Source organism: Homo sapiens, chromosome 7 (genome assembly GCF_000001405.40).
Source record: "Homo sapiens chromosome 7, GRCh38.p14 Primary Assembly".
NCBI lineage: Eukaryota > Metazoa > Chordata > Mammalia > Primates > Hominidae > Homo > Homo sapiens.
The window spans coordinates 70892514-70914588 of NC_000007.14; the positions used below are offsets into that span (position 1 = coordinate 70892514).

At 44.1% G+C, this 22075-nt stretch overlaps 6 annotated features.

The window, feature by feature from the left end:
* Positions 157–923: an enhancer, noted in NCBI's record as "H3K27ac-H3K4me1 hESC enhancer chr7:70357656-70358422 (GRCh37/hg19 assembly coordinates)". NCBI's record gives its function as "activates a minimal SCP1, AML or CMV promoter by ChIP-STARR-seq in primed H9 embryonic stem cells {active_cell/tissue: H9 hESC(primed)}" and the evidence as "EXISTENCE:reporter gene assay evidence [ECO:0000049][PMID:30033119]".
* Positions 1690–2455: an enhancer, noted in NCBI's record as "OCT4-NANOG-H3K27ac-H3K4me1 hESC enhancer chr7:70359189-70359954 (GRCh37/hg19 assembly coordinates)". NCBI's record gives its function as "activates a minimal SCP1, AML or CMV promoter by ChIP-STARR-seq in primed H9 embryonic stem cells {active_cell/tissue: H9 hESC(primed)}" and the evidence as "EXISTENCE:reporter gene assay evidence [ECO:0000049][PMID:30033119]".
* Positions 2456–3221: an enhancer, noted in NCBI's record as "NANOG-H3K27ac-H3K4me1 hESC enhancer chr7:70359955-70360720 (GRCh37/hg19 assembly coordinates)". NCBI's record gives its function as "activates a minimal SCP1, AML or CMV promoter by ChIP-STARR-seq in primed H9 embryonic stem cells {active_cell/tissue: H9 hESC(primed)}" and the evidence as "EXISTENCE:reporter gene assay evidence [ECO:0000049][PMID:30033119]".
* Positions 11475–11534: an enhancer, noted in NCBI's record as "active region_26115". NCBI's record gives its function as "activates an Ori minimal core promoter by ATAC-STARR-seq in GM12878 lymphoblastoid cells {active_cell/tissue: GM12878}" and the evidence as "EXISTENCE:reporter gene assay evidence [ECO:0000049][PMID:35858748]".
* Positions 14988–15489: an enhancer, noted in NCBI's record as "H3K27ac-H3K4me1 hESC enhancer chr7:70372487-70372988 (GRCh37/hg19 assembly coordinates)". NCBI's record gives its function as "activates a minimal SCP1, AML or CMV promoter by ChIP-STARR-seq in naive H9 embryonic stem cells {active_cell/tissue: H9 hESC(naive)}" and the evidence as "EXISTENCE:reporter gene assay evidence [ECO:0000049][PMID:30033119]".
* Positions 15490–15989: an enhancer, noted in NCBI's record as "H3K27ac-H3K4me1 hESC enhancer chr7:70372989-70373488 (GRCh37/hg19 assembly coordinates)". NCBI's record gives its function as "activates a minimal SCP1, AML or CMV promoter by ChIP-STARR-seq in naive H9 embryonic stem cells {active_cell/tissue: H9 hESC(naive)}" and the evidence as "EXISTENCE:reporter gene assay evidence [ECO:0000049][PMID:30033119]".

Genomic DNA, 22075 nt, shown 5'->3' on the forward strand with positions numbered 1-22075 from the left:
ATTTATTTATTTATTTATTTATTTATTTATTGAGACAGAGTCTCACTCTGTCACCCAGGCTGGAGTGCAGTGGTGTGATCTCGGTTCACTGCAAGCTCTGCCTCCTGGGTTCATGCCATTCTCCTGCCTCAGCCTCCCAAGTAGCTGGGACCACAGGTGCCCACCACCACGCCTGGATAATTTTTTGTATTTTTAGTAGAGATGGGGTTTCACCATGTTAGCCAGGATGGTCTTGATCTCCTGGCCTCGTGATCTACTCACCTCAGCCTCCGAAAGTGCTGGGATTACAGGTGTGAGCCACCCTACCTGGCCTATTTTTTATTTTGTAGAGATGGGGTCTTGCTGTGTTGCCCAGGCTGGTTTCAAACTCCTGGCCTCAAGCAATCCTCCCACCTTGGCCTCCCAAAGGGCTGAGATTATGTGCACCTCCACAATTCTATAACAAGGAAACCCCTCTGGAGTCAACCTGAGCTTCAGCTGAGGAAGCCGCTAAGCACTGGGAAGTCTGGGGTCCTGCCCGAAAAATGAGTTTGGGTGCTGAGGGGAGTGTCTGAGCCACCTCCCTTCTCTCCCTTGGCTAGCACAGTCAATCCACTGCCATCCTGGCCTGGGCTCTTCTCTGCCTGCTGCAGGAGTTGGCAGGTGCAGAGGTTGGCCCAGAGTAGCCCAGCCCGTGAACCTCAGGGGATAGGGGCAGCCCCCAACTCCCAAAAGCCAACTGGACTGTCCAGTTGAGAGAACCTGAGCTGCAAGGTCCTGGCATGTCTTGGAGATAAAAATGAAGCAGCATCGTTGTCTGGGGTAATACCTGAGGTTTGTCTTCTCACGCCAAGGAAATCGAGTGCACGGATACAAGAAGTGAGTTTAGGAGCAGAGGTTTATAGGCAAAAGAAAGATAAAGGAGGATGGCTGTGTCTCTTGCGAGAGAGAGAGGCACCTGAATGGGGCTTCCGTCCTGCGGCAGCGTGCACTGGATTTTATAGACAGGCTTGAGGAGGTGATGTCTGATTTACATAGGGCCCACAGATTGGTTGGACCAGGTGTGACGTTTACATAGTGCGGGGAAGCTGGTCGCCCCACCCTAATCTTATTATGCAAATGGAGTCTTTGCCTGGCTGGCTCCATGTTGTCTTCTCCTTACCATACACATGGTTCGGCAAAGAGAAGAGAAGATGAGCGGCCATTTTGAACATGCCTAGTCCCAGGTAGCCTTTTCCTATTGGCACAGCTACCAGCATTCACCGGTGCAAGCTTGTAGCTTGCTTGTCTCTGTCTGCAGCTTGATTTTACAGGCTGTTTTTTGTTAGAAAAGAAAATGATTTGGGGCCTGCTTTTCATTAAAAGGAAAACCTTACCGAGGACTTCTTTGCCTTCACTATCTGCCTAAATAATTTCTTCTTAACTCCTATATCAAAAACATGGTGCCAAGAGCCACGGTGGCCACTGGTCCATGAGAAGAGAGAGGAAGAGGGTGGCATTTCTACACTCTGTTGCCTCTGTGACCTTGTCCTTATAAGTTGAGGGTCACAAGTCAGCCTTCTCTTTGGTTTGGTTCATTGGTCCAGAGGGGACAAAACAGATGTCTGGGACCTTCAGGTTAGTTGCAGAGAAGAGCTCCCAGGCTCTGTCAGTGACACTTTTTGGGGTGCAGCTATCAGGTGGCCCTGCCAGAATCTGCCTGTTCTGAATATACCCCAGTGACTTCTGGCCTCTTCTCTGTCCCGAAGTCCACGGAAGTGGCTGGGACCAGTTGGGGATTTCTAATTCCAGTTTCTGCCTTGGGAATGAAGAGGAATGTTTCCAGCTGAGTTTAAACACATTAATTCCCAAATTGAGTTTGGCTCTCATGCTATTTAAAAACCCTATTTGGTAAGCACTTCACAGAGCAATAGCTCTGAAAGAGAAAGATTACTTTCCATTAGCCTGGCTCAGTAGCATGCATTGTTATTCACAAGGCAGTCAAAGAGAATTTAAGTGGAATGTGGGTTTCAAAGTCCAGGTGAGAGGCAGTCTTCCAGAAGTCTGGGCTCTTCCACTGCTAGGGAAGAGAGGACCTGGTGGATGCTGGCTCACTTTTGTTTTTGCTTTGTTTTCTGAGACAGAGTCTCACTCTGTTGCCCAGGTTGGAGGGCTCCATCATGGTGTACTTCAGCCTCGACCTCCCGGGCTGAAGCTATCCTGCCACCTCAGCCTTCCAAGTAGCTGGTACTACAGGTATGAGCCACCACACCCAGCTACTTTTTATGATTTTTTTCTAGAAACGGAGTTTTGCCATGTTGTCCAGTCTGGTCTCAAACTCCTGAGCTCAAGCCATCTGCCCGTCTCGGCCTCCCAAAGTGTGAGGATTACAGGCATGAGCCGTAGTGCATGGCCACTGGCTCACTTTTGAAAGCACTTTGCAAACCTCTGTCACCCTCAAACAGCCCAGCAAACAGGGAATTGCCAATGCAAAGAAGCCGGGTGCAGGCTGCCTGCCTTGCCTTGGGACCAGAGTGGCCTGGCGGTGGAACATGAGAGGAGAGCAGCTGACCCTGGCCTTTAGGGGCTGGAACCAGGTGAGACTGACCCACCTGAGTCCCACTTGTGCTCCGGTCACAGCAGTAGGAGCCCTCTGTGGGGTGTTCTGCCCCTAGCTAGGGCCAGCTCATCTTCACCCCTCACTTCTTAAAATTCTTAAGATTCCATTTAAGAATTTTGTGGGTCACTCAGCTCTGCCTGAAACAGCCTCACTGTAACTGACCAGCGGGTTCTCCTTGCCTGCTGCCTGGACAGAGCCGATTTATCAAGACAGGGAAAGTGCAATAGAGAAAGAGTTTAATTCACATGGAGCGGGCTGTATGGGAGACCAGGGTTTTCTTATTACTCAAATGTCTCCCTGAAAACTTGGGAATCGAGGTTTTTAAGGATAATTTGGTGAGTAGGGGGTTGGAAAGTGGGGAGTGCTGATTGGTCAGGTTGGAAATGAAATCATAGGGAGTCAAAGTTGTCCTCTTGCACTGAGTCAGTTCCTGGGTAGGGGCCACAAGACCAGATGAGCCAGTTTATCGATCTGGGTGGTGCCTGCTGATCCATCAAGTGCAGGGTCTGCAAAATATCTCCAGCACTGATCTTAGCTTTTACAATAGTGATGTTATCCCCAGGATAGCAATTTGGGGAGGTTCAGAGTCTTGTAACCTCCAGCTGCTTGATTTCCAAACTGTAATTTCTAATCTTGTGGCTAATTTGTTAGTCCTGGAAAGGCAGTCTAGTCCCCAGGCAGGAAGGGGGTTTGTTTTGGGAAAGGGCTGTTATTGTCTTTGTTTCAAAGTTGAACTATAAACTAAATTCCTCCCAAAGTTAGTTCAGCCTACGCCCAGGAATGAACAAGGACAGCTTGGAGGTTAGAAGCAAGATGGAATCAGGTCAGATCTCTTTCCCTGTCATCATTTTCTCAGTTACACTTTTTCCAAAAGCAGTTCCATCATTGCTGCAACTTCTGGAGAAGTACCCTAGCCTGCCCCCTCCCTACTCATCGCTGCATCAAATCTGCCACCATTCAGTTTGGACAGGACCTGAATTTAAATGAAGAATGAGAGGAGTCTTTTGTTCTGCCGCATTTTTTTGCTTTTGGTTTGAGGAGGTAGGGGGTGGTCGGAAGAGGAGACTTAGACATGCTAGTGACAAGTTTTAATATTCCATCTTTTTAAAAATTTGAAATTTTTTTATACTGACATAGAGCAAATAGCACCGTGCCATGTTTCATAATTTATGTGGAGGATCTATCATGTGCTTTTGACAGGTCTAGCATATTTACAGCGGCTACAGGCTTCTCTGTCTAGGAAGATGCCTTCTCTTGACTGCCTCAGTGATGTTGCTTTCTGACCATCTGCCCCACCTTGTCTGCAGCGTCCCAGGCAGTTTGAAGTCATCCGTCCACCTGCTTCTTACCTTAATCTGCTTTCTTTTGCTCCCAGCACCATGTCTATTTGTCGTTTTCTAGGAATAGTGACCTTGACTGGCAGGCAAACTCTTCCCTCTCTTCTTTCCCCTTTTTATTTAACCTTGATTGAGGCTTGAGTCCTGTGCTGGGTCAGGCACTGACATAAAAGTGGATTTCTGTCCTCAGGGCTCACAGCTTACTGGGGCCAACGTGATACATAGCAGCATATGACCACACACAGAAAGTGAACCAAACCCAGGCTGGAGGGAGGATGGGTCAGTGGAGACTTTTTCTATTGTTTTGTTGTTTTGAGACAAGGTCTCACTCTGTTGCCTAGGCTGGAGTGCAGTGGTGACTTTTTGTATGTTTTTTGGTTTTTGAGACAAGGACTGATTCTGTCACCCATGCTGGAGAGCAGTAGTGCATTGCAGTCTTTTGTTTTTTTTTTTGGGACAGAGTCTCGCTCTGTTGCCTAGGCTGCAGTGCAGTGGTGCGATCTCGGCTCACTGCAAGCTCTGCCTCCCAGGTTCACGCCATTCTCCTGCCTCAGTCTCCCGAGTAGCAGGGACTGCAGGCGACCGCCACCACGCCCAGCTAATTTTGTTTTTGTAGTTTTAGAAGAGACGGGGTTTCACCATGTTAGCCAAGATGGTCTCGATCTCCTGACCTCGTGATCCGCCTGCCTTGGCCTCCCAAAGTGCTGAGATTACAGGCATGAGCCACCACGCCTGGCCAGTTGCAGTTTTATCAGTACTGTTCACAGCCAGCTGTGCAAGCTGAGGGCTCTTGGCTTAGTGGTGCTGCCATCCCAAGGGGCGTTCTGGACCTTGACTTTAGACCTCATCTTGACCTTGGAACCTCCAGGTCTGGTTCTTCAATACTGGACAACATGTGAGCTCTCCATTATCATTCGTTTATTTATTTTTAGAGACAAGATCTTGCTCCATTGCCCAGGCTAAAGTGCAGTGGCACAATCATAGCTCTCTGCAGTCCTGAACTCCTGGGCTCAGTAGATCCTCCTGTCTCAGCCCAATGAGTAGCTGGGACTATAGGTGTGTGCCACCATACCTGGCTAATTTTTAAAAACATATTTTATAGAGATGGGGTCTCACAATGTTGCCCAGGCTGATCTCAAACTCCTGGACTCAAGCAGTCCTCCTGCCTTGGCCTCCCAATCTGTTGGAATTACATGTGTGAGCCACCACACCTGGCCTTTTATTTATTATTGTTATTATTACTTTATTTTGAGATGGAGTCTCACTCTGTTGCCCAGACTGGAGTGCAGTAGCACAATCTTGGCTTGCTGCAACCTCCACCTCCTGGGTTCAAGTGATTCTCCCACCTCAGTCTCCCGAGGAGCTGGGACTACAGGCATGTGCCACCACACCTGGGTAATTTTTTTTTTTTTTTTGTATTTTTAGTAGAGACAGCGTTTCACCCTGTTGTCCAGGCTGGTCTTGGACTCCTGACCTCAAGTGATCTACCCCCCTCAGCCTCCTAAAGTGCTGGAATTATAGGTGTGAGTCACTGTGCCCAGCCTGGCCTTTCATTTTTAGATGAAACTTTTTATTTTGGGGAAATGGTAGATTTACATGCATTGGTAAAAAAAAAAAAAAAAAAAAAAAATGGCGATCTTGTGCACTCTTTATCAGTTCCCCCAAAGGTAATACCTTGAAATACTACTACAATGTCATCACCAGGATACTGACATTAAGACAGTCAAGAGCCATCACATTTCCATCACTGCAAGGTTGCCTCCTGTTGTCTTTCTATAGCCGTATCCATGTTGGTCCTGCCCCCTCCCCTTCTTGACCATTGGTAACTATAAATCTGTTCTCCATTTCTGTAATTTTGTCATTTCAAAAACGCTATATAAATGTAATAATGTGGGCTGGGTGAGGTGGCTGACATCTGTAATCCCAGCACTTTGGGAGGCCGAGGTGGGCAGATCACCTGAGGTCAGGAGTTCGAGACCAGCTTGGTCAACATAGTGAAACCCTGTCTCTACCAAAAATACAAAAATTAGCTGGGTGTGGTGGTGCCCACCTGTAGTCCCAGCTACTTGGGAGGCTGAGGCCTGAGAATCACTTAAACCTGGGAAGCAGAGGTTGCAGAGAGCTGAGATTGCACCACTGTACTCAGCCTGGGTGACAGTGTGAGACCCTATCTAAAAAAAAAAAAAAAAGAATATATATATATATACACACACACACAGACACACACATATATATACACACACATATATATACATATATAAAATTGTGTGGTATGTATCATTTTGGGATTGACTTTTTTCACTCATCCATGTTGTTATTGTCTCAATAGTTTATTCCTTATTATTTCTGAGTTGTATTTTGTGGTGTGGATATACCACAGTTGTTTTTTAACCATTCATCCATTCAATCAGAGAGGAGATCAAGAAAGATCAACAAAAAACAACACTATAGATCAACTGGGCCTAACAGGCATTTACATAGTACTCCACCCAACAGCAACAGAATACACATTCTTCCCAAGCACACACGAGATATTTACCAGGATAGATCACCCATGAAGGTACAAAACAAGTCTTAACCAACTGGGTTGTTTCCAGTTTTGGAGTCACACAGAAAGCTGCTATGAATGTTTGTGTATAAGTTTTTTTGTGTGTATGTATAAGTCTCCATACTCCTGAGATAAATACCCAAGTGTGCAATTGCTCAATGGTAGTTGCATGTTTTGTTTCTAAGAACGTACAAACTATTTTTCTGAGTGGCTCTACCATTTTGTATTCCCACCAGTGTTGTATGAGTGACCCAATTTCTCCTTATCCTCATCAGAATTAGGTGTTGTCACTATTTTTTATTTTGATAACTTTTCATATGTGTGGAGAGATATCTTACTGGGATTTAAATTTGTATTTCCCTGGTTGCTAATTATACCAAACAACTTTTCATATGATTATTAGCCATCTCTAAATACTCTTTGATAAAATAGCTGTCCATGTCTTTTACCTATTTCTAATTGGATTGTTTGATGTTTTTGCTGTTGAGAGTTCTTTATATATTTGTGATGCTAGTCCTTTGTCAGCTATGTGGTTTGGAAATATTTGTTTCCAGACTGTAGCATGTCTTTTCAATTTCTTTTTCACAGAACAAAACTTTAAAATTTTGATGAGGTCCAGCTTATCAAAGGTGTGTCTTCTGCACCCTCCCAGGGTGAATGAGTAGGTCTTAAATGATAAATCTACACTAATATTTCTTTTCTTTCTTTCTTTCTTTTTTTTTTTTGAGATGGAGTTTCACTCTTTTTGCCCAGGCTGGAGTGCAATGGCGTGATCTCAGCTCACTGCAACCTCCACCTCCCGGGTTCAAGTGATTCTCTGGCCTCAGCCTCCCAAGTAGCTGGGATTACAGGCATGCGCCACCATGCCTGGCTAATTTTGTAGTTTCAGAAGAGACCACCATGCTGCTCAGGCTTGTCTCGAACTCCTGACCTCAGGCGATCTACCCGCCTTGGCCTCCCGAAGTGCTGGGATTATAGGTGTGAGCCACCGCACCAGACCCACACTAATATTTCAGTCTCCCTAAGTCTCTACATTAAACCAAGAAAGGTTGGAATTTTCCAACTTGCTCACTCTGGGCCACCATCTTGGTCTGTGTTTCAGCCAAGCAACCAAATTGTTAGAGCCCTTTCTAACTCCCCAAGGTGCAACATTAAATGCAGAGCATATCAAGGCTGAATGCTTGACCATGGGCCACCAATTTAGCATGTGACCTGAGTGGCCCATGATCCAGGCAAGTTGACACATAAAATCAATTTTCAGTCTAGCTAAGTGTTTATCTATTTTGTTGATCTTCTTAATAAATAGCTTAATTTATTTGACTTTTGTATCGTGTTTCTCCTCTTTATTTTGTTTATTTCTGCTCTCATCTTTATTTTTTCCTTCTTTCTGCTAACTTTGGGTGTAGTTTTTCTTCGTTTTCTAGTTCTTTGAGGTGTTAAGTTAGGTTCTTGATTTGAGATTTCTTCTTTTTTTAAATGTAGGCATTTACCACTCTAAACTAAACTTACCTCTTAGTACCCCTTTTGCTGCATCCTATAAATTCTGGCAAGTTGTGTTTTTGTTTTAATTGTCTTACAGTATTTTCTAATTTTGTTTGTGGTCTCTTCTTTGACCCATTAGTTGTTCAAGATGCTGTTATTTGATGTCCACATATTTAAAATTTTTTCATTTTCTCTACTACTATTGATTTCTAATTTCATTCCATTGTGGTCAGAAAAGAGTAAATATGATTGCAGTCTTAAATTTGTTAAGACTTATTTTGTCACTTAGCATGTGATCTATTCACGTGTGCTTGAGAAGAATGTGTATTCTGCTGCTTTTGGGTGGAGTGTTATGTATATATCTGTTAGGTCCAGTTGGTTTATAGTGTTCAACTCCTCTGCTTTTTTTACTGATTTTCTATCTGGTTGTTTCATTCATTATCAAAAGTAGGATATTAGAATTTCATATTATTACTGTGTTATTCTCTATTTCTCCCTTTTATTCTGTCAGTTGGCTTCATATATTTGGGTGCCGTGATGTTAGATGCATATAAATTTATAAGTGTTATATATCCTTCCGGTGTATTGAACCTTTTATCATTATATAATAATGTCTCTTTTTTGTCTCTTGTGACTTTTTTTTTAACTTAAAGTCTATTTTGTGATATTGGTATGGCCATCCATACTTTATTTTAGTTACTATTTGCTTGGAATACCTTTTTCCATCCTTTCACTTTCAGCCTATGTGTTTTTAAATCTAAAATGGGTTTCTTGTATACAGCATATGGTTATATCTTGGTTAAAAAAATCATTCAGCCACTCTATGTCTTTTGATTGGAAAGTTTAATACATTTACATTGAAAGTAGTTACTGACAGAAAAGGACTTATTATTGCCATTTTGTTAATTGTTTTGTGTCTGTCTTTTAGCTACTGTGTCCCTTTTTTACTCTCTTTATGACCTCCTTTGTGTTTTATTAATTTTTTTGTATGACATACTTTGATTCTTTCTCATTTTCTTTTGTTTATCTTCTATAGGTATTTTCTTTGCGGTTACTATGAGACTACATAAGATACTTTATATTCATTTGAAGGTGATAACAACTTCACTTCAATCATATAAAAAATTCTGCTCTTTTACATCTCCTCAGCCTCACTTTTTTATTGATGAACAAATTCCATCTTTCTATATTGAATATCCATTAACATAGTTTTATAATTATCTTTATTTTTAAAGCTTTTGTCTTTTAAATTTTATACCAGAGTTAAAAGTGCTTTATGAGGCTGGGTCCCGTGGCTCATGCCTGTAATTCCAGCACTTTGGGAGGCCAGGGCAGGAGGACTACTTGAGGTCAGGAGTTTGATACCAGCCTGGTCGACATGGTGAAACCCTATCTCTACAAAAATACAAAAAAAAAAAAAAATTAGCTGGATGTGGTGGTGGGCGCCTGTAATCCCAGCTGCTCGGGAGGCTGAGGCAGCAGAATCACTTGAACCTGAGAGGCAGAGGTTGCAGTGAGCTGAGATTGCGCCACTGCACCCTAGTATGGGTGACACAGCGAGACTCCATCTCAAAAAAAAAAAGTGCTTTATGCACCATTACAATATCCTATATCCTATATTTGTCTATATATTTACCTTTACCAGTCAGCGTTATATTTGTATATGCTTTGTGTTGTTGTCTATTGTCCTTTTGTTTTAATTTCCAGGACTCCCCTTAGCATTTTTTGTAAGGCAGATCTGGTGGTAACAAAGTCCCTCAGCTTTTGGTTATCTGGGAAATCTTTTTTCTTTTTCATTTTTGACAAGCAATTTTGCCAGATACAGTATTGTTGGTTGACAGTTGTTTTCTTTCAGTACTTTGAATATATCATTCTACTTTCTTCTGGCTTGAAAGGTTTCTCCTGAGAAATCCACTGCTGATTTATGGGAGCTCCCTTCTACATGATAAGTTGCTTTCCTCTTGCTATTTTCAAGATTCTCTCTTTTTCTTTGAATTTGACAGTTTGATCATAATGTGTTTCAGCATGAACTTCTTTGGATTCATCCTAGTTGGAGGCTTTTGAGCTTTTTTTTTTTTTTTTTTTTTTTTTTAGACAGGTTCTTGCTCTGTCACCCAGGCTGGAGTGCAATGGCATGATCTTGCCTCACTGCAACCTCTGCCCCCTTGGGCTCAAGTGACCCTCCCACTTCAACCTTGTGAGTAGCTGGGACAACAGGTGCACACCACCATGCCTGGCTATTTTTTTTTGGTATTTTTGGTAGAGACAGGATCTTGCTGTGTTGCCCAGGCTGGTCTTGAACTCCTGAGCTCAAGTGATCCACTTGCCTCAGCCTTCTAAAGTGTTGGGATTACAGGCAGGAGCCACCATGCCCAGCCTTTTTTGAGCTTCTTGAATTTGATGTTCATTGCCTTCCTCAGATTTGGAAGTTTTTGGCCATTATTTTTTTCAAAAAAGTGCTGTATTAATTTTCCTTCTCATCTCCTTCTGGGATATTTTTGATGCATTTATCGGTTGGCTTGATGGTGTCCCATAAGTCCTTTCAGCTTTGTTCACTCTTCTTCATTCTTTTTTCTTTTTTTCCCCTCTGACTTCATAATTTTAAATGACCTGTCTTTAAGTTCACTGATCGTTTCTTCTGCTTGATGAAGTCTGCTGTTGAGTTTGTCTAGTGACTTTTTCAATTCAGTTATTGTATTCTTCAGACCAGAATTTCTGTTTGGTTCAATTTTATGGTTTCTATCTTTTTCTGATATCCTCATTTTTTTTTTCATGCATTTTCCCTCTGGTTTCATTTCACTGCCTGTCTGTGTTCTACTGTAACACATTGAGCTTCTTAATATGATTATTTTGGATTATCTTTCAGGTAATTCATAGATTCCCCTTAGTTTGGGCTTAATTTCCAGAGTATTTTTTTCTTCTTCAATTGAGCCATGTTTTTCTTTTTCTTTATGTACCTTGTGATTTTATTTATTTATTTATTTATTTATTTATTTATTTATTGAGACTGAGTCTAGCTCTGTCGCCCAGGCTGGAGTGCAATGGCGCGATCTCGGTTCACTGCAAGCTCCGCCTCCCGGGTTCACACCATTCTCTTGCCTCAGCCTCCCGAGTCGCTGGGACTACAGGCACCCGCCACCATGCCCAGCTAATTTTTTGTATTTTTAGTAGAGACGGGGTTTCACCGTGTTAGCCAGGATGGTCTCGAATTTCTGACCTCGTGATCCGCCTGCCTCAGCCTTCCAAAGTGCTGGGATTATAGGCTTGAGCCACCACGCCTGGCCTTATTTATTTTTTGCTAAGTTTTAAGCATTTGAACAAATAGACACCTCACCCAATAATTACAGGCTGCCTTTGTACGCAGGAAGATCTTCATCACTTAGCACTGCTAGAGATTCCGGGTGCTTTTGAAACCTTTTTTGAGGAATGCAACTTCTCTGGGCTTATACATATAACTTCCCAATTAGAGAACTTCTTCAGTTTCTTTTTGGGGAGCTCATACTCTCTTTCTCTGGTGTCTGTCTGTGGTACTGAAGGTTCTCTGGCGTTGCCGCAGGAAACTACTCAACTCTCCTTTGTTCTCAGTGACCCCAGGCATCCAAGGTCGCTAGCTTCCCAGCAGTTCCCTGAGTCAAGTAAGACAGATACCAGTCCCTCGAGTAGCCCTCCAAAAACAGGAACACTGAGTGCCTGTTTCATTCCTCTCTTCCCCACTCAGAGGGAGATGTTATGAACCAGGGTGTTCTCTCTTGGTGCTGGGTTGTGCTGGGTTGGGGGTGGAGTGATCATACAGGAAGTGAAACAGCTATTCTTATCTGATTCAATATGGCTGTTCTTGGTTTCATACTCACCATGGCTACTGCAATATCTTTTCTGGTTTTTAGGGTCCTCATATGTTTATTTTGTTCTATATATTGTTGTTGAGTCTGTTTCTGAAGGGATGAGGACTGTTATCTCTTATTCTACCATTTTGCTGTCTCTCTCCCCCATTATCTTTTTTTGTTTTGTTTTGTTTGTTTGTTTGTTTGTTTGTTTTTGAGACAGAGTCTCGCTCTGTTGCTCAGGCTGGAGTGCAGTGGTGCAATCTTGGCTCACCGCAACCTCCGCCTCCCGGGTTCAAGTGATTCTCCTGCCTAAGCCTCCAGAGTAGCTGGGACTACAGGTGCACACTGCCATGCCCGGCTAATTTTTTTATTTTTAGTAGAGATGGGGTTTTGCCATGTTGGCCAGGCTGGTCTCAAACTCCTGACTTCAGGTGATTCACCTGTCTAGGCCTCCCAGAGTGCTGGGATTACAGACATGGGCCACTGCACCCAGCCCCCCTTATCTTTTAATTATTTTTCTTCTGCAATAAGCCAGAGTTTGTCTCTGTGGCTTGACTTCAGGTTCTTTTTTGGGGCCAATGTATTCCATGCAGGCAACACTACATGGAAAGGCGCACAGATGAGAAGGAGTATGACTTGTCTGGGAACTGTGAATAGTTATTGGATAGCCTGCAATGCTCACATAACCCTGGCCAAAGGAGCCTCTGCTGACTGGTTCTCTGTCTCCATAGAATGTTTCTGGAAGTTGTAAGAACAGACCTGACTCCTGAGCATGGTCTGACATGGTGTGTTATAGACCTTTGCTACTCAAAGTGTGGTCCATCACCTAGGAGCTTGTTAGAAATGCAGAACCTCATGCTCCTCCCTTGATTTAGCATCAGAATCTTCATTTTAACAAGAATCTGGGTGATTCTTCTTGCACTGAAGCCTGGGAAGCATGGATAGAGCTGGCCCTAGGATCTGGATACCTGTAGGAGCTTCTGAGTTGACCAAGCAGTGCATGGGGAGTGAGGTATCATCTGGGACCTGAGCTGGTAACCCATCCACTGCTTAAAATGTTCTATAACATGCTTTGTTTGCATTTTTCTCCAACCTAAACCCTCAGTTAGTTAAACCTCCCCAGAGCTTCCATATTAAATGGTTCTCTTCTTGAGAAAGGTTCAATATTTGCTCATTCAAATTAACTCAGCTCTAGCCTTCTGTCAAAGCATTGTGCCAAATGTAACAGCATCATTACTTTCCTTAATCTAGTTTAAAAATAGACTATAAACATATTCCTTTTTTTTTCTGCACAACCATGTAGGAGAATTTATCTTTCTTTACCTGAAAACTTTTAATTACTTGCATTTGGGATTCCAAGGCTGTCTCAGTAATACAATTAATTTTAATGAGGAGTCTAAGTTTATCATTCAATCCAATTATTCTAAATTAAGTGATCGTGTAGTTCACTTCATTGTCAATTGATTGTGATTACCTATTATCAAGTAAACTCAATATATTTATGATAATTTTATTAATCAGGCAATGCCTGCTGTCCAAAAGCCATGGTTTTTTTATTCTGTGGCTCATATATGGGCACCTTGAAATACCGTGACATACTGTGAAATCAATGCAAACCACAGATGTTTATTAAACTCCTGCATAGGTAGCACTCTACTGGGACTATTAGAATAAAGGAAAATGTTTAGGACAATTGCTGCTCTTAAGAGCCTTATATGTAGCTGAGTTGGGCTGAGTGTGTGGGTGAGTATGATAACTTGTCAGAAGGGTGATGCAAAACAAAAGGTGCTGGTGGGTAGAGAAGGCCCAGCCGAGAAGGCTTCAGGGTGGAAGCAGGACTTGGGTCTCCAGGAGGCTGTGAAGCATAGACCCTATTAGGTGAATGCCTTACAAGTACTGACATTGGGAAGATCTGGGATGCTTATTAGACATATATATCCATGGGCCCCACCCCAGAACTATAGAATCAGGATCTCTGGGGCATGGATCTAGGAATCTGATTTTCAATTAATTAATTAACTTTTTTTGAGTCAGTATCTCATTCTATTGTCCAGGCTGGAGTGTGGTGGTATGATCATAGCTCATTGCAGCCTCAAACTCCTAGGCTCAAGCGATCTTCCCACCTCAGTAGCTCCTGAATAACTGTGACTACAGGCATGCACCACCACACCCATATGGCTGTTAAATTTTTTTTAGAGATGGGGTCTTGCTATGTTGCCCAGGCTAGTCTCAAACTCCTGGTCACAAGCAATTCTCCCACCTTGCCATCCAAAGACACTGGGATTATAGACATGAGCCACTATACCTGGCCAGGAATCTGATGTTTCATAGAAGATTAATCTAAGAAGGTGACTCGTAGGCACAGGAAGTATGATAACCACTGTCATAGTGGTGACGAGAAAGGTGTCTGTATCCAAAGCTTGATGTGACATTCCCAGCCCCCGCTCACTACCTTTATGATCTCAGGCCTGATGAGTCCCATGTTCACACCTATCTGACACCATATGCAATTCAGTTTTGAATTCTGCCTCCCACCAGGGCCCCTGCCTAACTCTAAACTCCCCTCTTCAACCCTCTGTCCACCTCTGTACTCTCCTCCACACTGGAGCCATCGTGATTTCTTCCTCACTCTCACCAACCTGCTGCTTCCTGGTCTGCATAGACCCCTCCTCACCTTCATCCCCACTGCACATAAACTTATCTTTCAAGACTCAGCATACACATCACCTCCTCCGCAAATTGAAACTGCCTTTGCAAAATTATGACTGAGACAGTGAAAGAGATCTAACTTAACTGACTCTATCTTGCCTCTAACCTCCAAGCTGTCCTTGTTCATTCCTGGGCGTAGGCTAAACTAACTTTGGGAGAAACTTAGTTTATAGTTTAAACAAAGGTAATAACAGCCCTTTCCCAAAGCAGACCTCCTTTTTGCCTGGGGACTAGATTACCTTTGTAGGACTAACATTAGCCACAACATTAGAAATTATGGTTTAGGAGTCATGCAGCTGGAGGTTACAAGATTCTGACCCTCCCTAAACCACTTCCTAAGATCAGTGCTTGAGATATTTTGCAGACCCTGCACTTGATGGATCAGCTGGTGCCACCCAGATTGATGAACTGGCTCATCCAATCTTGTTGCCCCCACGCAGGAACTGACTCAGCGCAAGAGTCAGCTTCGACTCCCTATGATTTCATCCCTGATCAATCAGCACCCCTGGCTCACTGGCTTCCCCCACCCATCAAGTTATCCTTAAAAACTCTGCTCCCTGATTTGAGTAATGATAAAACTCTGGTCTCCTGCACAGCCAGGTTTGCATGAATTCCTCTTTCTCTACTGTAATTCCCCTGTCTTGATGAATCGGCTCTATCTAGGCAGCAGGCAAAGTGAACCCTTTGGACAGTTACAGATTCTTCTCTGGGCTTCTAAGGATAGGTTCCAGCCTCCTGCCATGTTCTTGCATAGTGGGGAAGAAGTTCTATTGTTTGGGGAAGCCCAGCCCCTTCTAATTCCTCCTTTGTCAGAGCCCTACCCTTTCCAATGGGAAAGTGCACCCTACTCCTCTCCTCTCCAGCCAAGTGATTCGGGAGGGAACATTCACAGGTATAGTGCTCTGCTCACCTGGCCAGTCAGAGCCAGTCCTGGTATTTTTATACTGAGGCAAGGAGAGAGAGCATAGGCATGTTCCATGAGGGAAAAGATCCCCTGTTGCAGAGACAAATGAGGCAGACACTTGCAGAGAAGCAGAGCTGGAGAGGGAATGAGAGAATCCCAAGGGCATCATTAACATCCTTGGGCTCAGTTCTGCCTGATGCTATCATCACCCCTGCCTTTCCAAGTATGTGAGTCTGTGGCAGGCCAGGTCTCACTAATGCGAGGTCCATCACAACTGTTTCAGCACTGACTCTGTAGTTAAATTAAACATTAAAAACCAAAAAGGCCAGTGCCCTTATATGAAGGCTGAAATGTAACAAAAGCCCATCAAGAGTTTTGCCTAGGCCTTTCCTGGGCCTCAAAGCATGACAAAATAATGAAGGAATTCTTAACAGGACCCATTTAGGATTAAACAAGCTTTATTGGGGGTCTGAAGAAACTCCCCAGGGCCTCCACAAATAAAGTTTATTGGAAGTCTGAAGGAACACCCCAAAACTCTGTGATTTAGCAGGAGACAAGATAAGGGTATTCACCGCAGCACCTACACCCATTTAGATTAAGTAAATTTACTGAGACTCCAGAGGAAGTTCTTTAGGACTCAGACCTTAGTTATAGATGAAAAGAAGTTAATCACAAATCTTTAGATGAATGCACACTTGCACATAGACATATAGCTTAGTATATAAGCTCTGAAAAACCTTGTAATTTTGAGTCGGTCTGGTGATAATTTCCAGGCCTTCTTCCTGTAACTGGTTACAGAAATAAAAAGTCTCTTCCTCCCCAGTTCATCTGCATCTCGTTGTTAGGCCACAAGAAATAGCAGCCCGACCCTCAGTTTGGTTTGGAAGCAAGTCCGTAAATCCCCCTGTTGATTTAAACTAGGTTGAGTGTTTTGGTCACTTATAACAGAAACAAGTTCTCATGATGCTAGTGGACATCACTCTTTTCCTCATCTGTCCTCCCAGCCAGGATGGGAGTTTCTGGAGGTTCAGCCCTGGAGCACACAGGCACTCAATAAATGTTTGTTGAAGGAATGAATAAAATGAGGAACTACACTTGAGTTTGTCTCACGCAGCTTGGACTTGCACTCTTTGAATTAATGGATTGACAGTCAATATAAATATTTGAAGAGATTTATTCTGAGCCAAATATGAGTGACCATGGCCTGTGACACAGCCCTCAGGGGGTCCTGAGAACATGTGCCCAAGCTGGGTGGTCGGGGTGCAGCTTGGTTTTATACATTTTAGGGAGGTATGAGACATCAAATACATTTAAGAAATACATTGGTTTGGTCCAGAAAGGTGGGACAACTCAAAGCGGGGTGTGGGGGAAGGAGTGGGGGCTTCCAGGCTACAGGTAAATTTAAACATTTTCTGGTTGACAATTGGTTGAGTTTATCTCAAGACATGGGATCATAAAAAAGAAATGTTCAGGTTAAGATAAAAGATTGTGGAGACCAAGGTTCTTCTGAAGTCTTATAGTGGCTGCGACCAATGTTTCCTATTCAGACCTTTAAAAGGTGCTAGACTCTTAGTTAATCTCTTTAGGGTTGGGAGGGCCTGGAAAAAAAGATCTAGCTGTGTGAATAGAGATTCTTCACAGATGCAAAATTTCCCCCACAAAGGACAGCTTTGCAGGGCCATTTCAAAATATGGCAAGGAAACATGTTTTGGGGTAAAAATATTTTGATTTTCTTCCTTGTCTTGTCATGTTATGCCAGAGTCAGGTTGGAAAGTAAGTCACAATATATAGGGTTAAACAAGACCCATCTGATGAGAATTCATGATTTACAGGACATGACTCCCCAGACCCTTTAGGAATTTGGGAAATATAAAAATCAGAGTTTAGTCCTCAACTTTCTTCCTGGGCTAGTCTAGCCCCATTGTTTCTGTTAGCTTGCTGCAGCCTCTGACTTAGCCCCCAGCTCGCAGGAGTTCTCAGTGAACTCCACAGTCAAGGCTGAACTATTTATAACAATATATCATCCTGTACTGTTTATGCTTCTAAGCGCTGGGGAAAGGCATGAAAATCAAAATTAAAAGTAATTTAACCACTTGGTGCATGCTCATGGCTTCTCCATGATAGGAGAAGCTTCAAAGCACACTAAGGGCTTGCACACTTTGAGTGATGGGGAGCTCACTACCTCCTAAGGTGGTTCTTTCTATCTTAGGGAGGTTTCTTGCCAATAAACAGCTCATCCTTTTACTGAGCTGAAAACAGCCTCTCATAACTAATTTCTCTACTTTGGTCCTAGTTCTCACTTCTGGCTTCTCCATATTGAAAAGGCAGGACCTTGGTTGGTTTTCTAACCTAAATATTCCCAGGCTGAAACCAGGATTCATGGGAGCTTTCCCAAGTATTCACGAGATCTTCCTAAGGCTGAATATGCTTTTCTTTGTCTACATCTCTCTTAAAATGAAGCCCACTTTTGCCACTGCTCCCATCCCAACTCAAGCCACCACTGTCTCACAGTGGAATATAATTTTGTTATAGCCTTCTTCCCCCAACCCCTGGGGTACTTTCTTTAATACTGTGACCCTTTCCCACAAACACAGCTAGACCTGAGGCCTCCATGATTTCTTTTCTTTTTTTGAGACATAGTTTCAATCTTGTTGCCCAGGCTGGAGTGCAGTGGCGCCATCTTGGCTCACTGCAACCTCTGCCTCCTGGGCTCAAGCGATTCTCCTGCCTCAGCCTCCTGAGTAGCTGGGAATACAGGCACCCGCCACCATGCCTGGCTAAGTTTTTGTATTTTTAGTAGAGATGGGGTTTCACCATGTTGGCCAGGCTGGTCTCAAACTCCTGACTTCAGGTGATCCACCCACCTGGGCTTCCCAAAGTGCTGGGATTACAAGTGTGAGCCACTGTACCCAGTGACCTCCATGATTTCAAGGGAAGATTGTCACAGGGAACAGAATTCATTACATGACTCTGCATGAGGAATAAAATATGCAGACGACAGTAGGACTCTCACCTCCTTCATTCTAGAATCTATGTTTCTGTTAATGCAGCTGTCTCAGGTAGCTTCATTTTTGCCTTCTTTTCTCCACTTATGGAGACCTCATCCTATGTGAAGGAGTAGATGGAGGACAAAAAAGAGACAAAGAAAGAGAAGAGAAGCTTGTGCTATAGAAAAAGGAGAGATGGAAGAGGGGACCTGTCATAGATGCATCTTTTGAAGTGGACACAAAGCAGGCTTTTTGGAGTGTTTCTGGGAGCCCAACACACAGCCCTCTACATGCGATGTTTGTGAATGTTTTCTTCATGTGAGCCTGGATTTTCTAACACATACTGACAGGCTTCTTAGTGGCAGCTTATGGCAATGAATTGGGTAACAGGAATTTGACAGCAAGCAGATAGCCCAGACTGAGACTTAATTTCTAGTGACAGGCTGAGAATCACTGGAGACAACCTTTAGGAGGGGAAATAAATGAGGGACAAAGCCTTTCATCTGCCTTCCAATGAGGTTCCCAGGGATTGGGCCAATTCATCTCACTACAGGTGACCTCCTGGGACTCTTCTTTTCCCCTTATCTCCAAGTCCTGCCCCCTCTCTCTCTTTGTTTTTTTTTTTTTTTTGAGACAGAGTCTCACTCTGTCACCCAGGCTGGAGTGCAGTGGTGTGATCTCAGCTCACTGCAACCTCCACCTTCCAGGTTCAAGCAATTGTCCTGCCTCAGCCTCCCAAGTAGCTGGGAGTACAGGTGCGCACCACCATGACCGACTAATTTTTGCATTTTTATTAGAGATAGGGTTTCACTATGTTGGCCGTGAACTTTTGGCCTCAAGTGATCTGCCCGTCTTGGCTTCCCAAAGTGCTGGGATTACAGGTTTGAGCCACCGTGCCCAGACTCCTCTCTCTTTTTTAAAAGACTTCATCTCCTCATTTCCTCTTTCCCAGGGCCAGGCCACCATCATCTTGTTGTGGGACCTTGTCTTGTGAATGGTATTATCCTGTGACCCCACTATCTAGGGCAGCTAGACAAGAGGCTTCTATTGCCCCAACAGAAAAGAAAAGAAAAAAAGAGGCCAGGTGCAGTGGCTCACACGTGCAATCCCAACACTTTGAGAGGCTGAAGTGGGAGGATCGCTTGAGCCTAGAAGTTCAAGACCAGCCTGGACAACAGGGTGAAACCTTGTCTCTACAAAAGATAAAAAACTTAGCCAGGAGAGGTGGCATGCACCTGTAGTCTCAACTACTTGGGAGGCTGAGGTGGGAGGATTGCTTGAGCACGGGAGGCAGAGGTTGCAATGAGCCAAGGTTATACCACTGCATTCCAGCCTGGCCAACAGCAGGGCCCTGTCTCAACAAAAGAAAAAGAAAAGAGTAAAGACCATGGTTTAGGGCCTGATGTGAGATAGATTTAGAAGAATTCATGAGCTAATTTTCCTCTAGGACAGAAGAAAGAGAAAGAATGAGGGAAGAGATGGGGGTGTGACAATGGGGAGGAGATGGTGGCTTCAGGACAAGAGGACAGGATCAGAGACAACCCTGCCTCTGCAAGGACGTGGGAGCCAATCCCCATTTGAGGGATGCAGTTTTTCAAAGACAGCCCAGACTGGTGCCCTGTGCATTAGGATCCATGATGACCAGCCTGTCACCTGTGGATAGTCAAAAGAACTAGCTACAAGAACCGCTCTTCTCGCTGCCGAACCAGCTCCCTCTGCCCTGTGAGCCTCGAGGTAGAGAGTGGACTCATGGGCATTAGAGAGGTGGTGGGGGGCATATGGAAAGAAAGACTGCTCATTTCAGTTCCAAATCTTCTTTTCAAGGCGTGGTGGCTCATGTCTGTGGTCCCAATGCTTTAGGAGGCCGAGGCGGGAAGATCGCTTGAGCCCAGGAGTTCAAGACCAGCCTGGGCAACACAGCAAGACCCTGCCTCTTAAAAAAAATTAAAAAGTTAGTCGGGTGTGGTGGTGCACACCTGTACTCCCAGTTACTTGGGAGTGAGCCACACTGATCGTGGCACCCTGTCTCTTTAAAAAAAGAAAATCCTCTCCTTAGCCGGGACAGTGGAAACCCAAATTCTTTATTCTCTCTTGCTGGGGGACCACTAGTTGTCTAATTATGGCTATTTACACACAAACACTGGTTTTGTTTCTTGTTCATTCTTTCAGGATCATTTGAGCCTGGGGAGGTTGAGGCTGCAGTGAGCTGTGATTGTGACACTGCGCTCCAGCCTGGGTGACAGAGTGACCCTGTCCCCCACCACCAAAAAAAAAGTGGGATGAGAAATAATGTCATCATCTTGGAAAAATAAAATCTCCTATTCCTCTCTCTATGTTCTGTGAGTCATACTCAGCCCCAGGTTTCAGCTTAAACATCTCTTTCTCAGGAAGGCCAGTGGTCACCTAGACAGGTAACCGTGTTACCTGATATCTATTACTCGGCACACTCAGAACAATTGTTTAACGTCTGTCTTCTCCAGTAGAGCGTCCATACAAGCTAGCACCATTGACTCCCTTTCCCCTCACTGCTTGTGAAAGTCCAGTCATTAGACATCTACATGCGCCATGCTTCATGCTAAGTTCTTCCCTTCTTTCTTTTCTTTTCTTTTTCCTTTCCTCTCCTCTCCTCTTCCTTCCTTCCTTTCCTTCCTTTCCTTCTTTCCTCTCTCTTTCTCTCTCTTTCTTTCTTTCTCTGTCTCTTTCTCTCTCTCTCTCTCTCTTTCTCTCTTTCTTTTTAGAGGCAGGGTCTTGCTCCATCACCGAGGCTGAAGTGCAGTGGTGCAAATCACGGTTCACTGCAACCTTGACCTCCTGGACTCAGTCCATCTTCCTGTCCTCAGCCTCACAAGTACTTGGGACCACAGATGGGCACCACCCCACCCAGGTAGTTTCTAAATTATGTGTAGAGACACGGTTTTCCTATGTTGCCCAGGCTCAAGCGATCCTCCTGTGCTGGCCTTCCAAAATGCTGGGATTAAGGCGTGAGCCACCGCCCAAGGCCCTGTGCTAAATTCCTTGATATATTATGTCTACTGCTTGTAACAACCCTCCAAGGTGTTAATTACTTCCATTATTGTAGACATGAGCAGAAACTGGAAGGTTAAAGAGAATTATCAAAAGCATACCCAGCTAGTAAGTTTTCAGAGCTAGAATTAAACCCAGGTCAACTAGTCATGAAGGCTTCGAACAGTTCCATTCTGTCTTCTTGCCTCTCTGTGTTTTATTGTACCGTTTGTGGGGATTACTACCTGAGGTTGAATATTTTCCTGTATGTTTCCAGATAGTTATATTTCTTTTCATGTGAATTCTTGGCGTTTGTCTTCTCCTTCTCCCCCTCCCCTTCCCCCTCCCCCTCCCCTTCCCCCTCCCCCTCCCTTCCCTTTCCCCTCCCCTTTCCTCTCCCGTCCTCCCTCCCCTCCCCTCTTTTCTTTTCTTTTCTTCTCTCTTTTTTTTCTTTTTTTCTTCTTTTTGAGATGGAGTCTCTATCTGTCACCCAGGCTGGAGTGCAGTGGTGCCATCTCGGCTCACTGCAACCTCTGCCTCCCAGGTTCAAGCGATTCTCCTGCCTCAGCCTCCTGAGTAGCTGGCATTACAGGCATGCACCGCCAGCTCCGGCTAACTTTTGTATTTTAGTAGAGGTGGTGTTTCGCCATGTTGGCCAGGCTGGTCTTGAACTCCTGACCTCAGGTGATCAGCCCACCTTGGC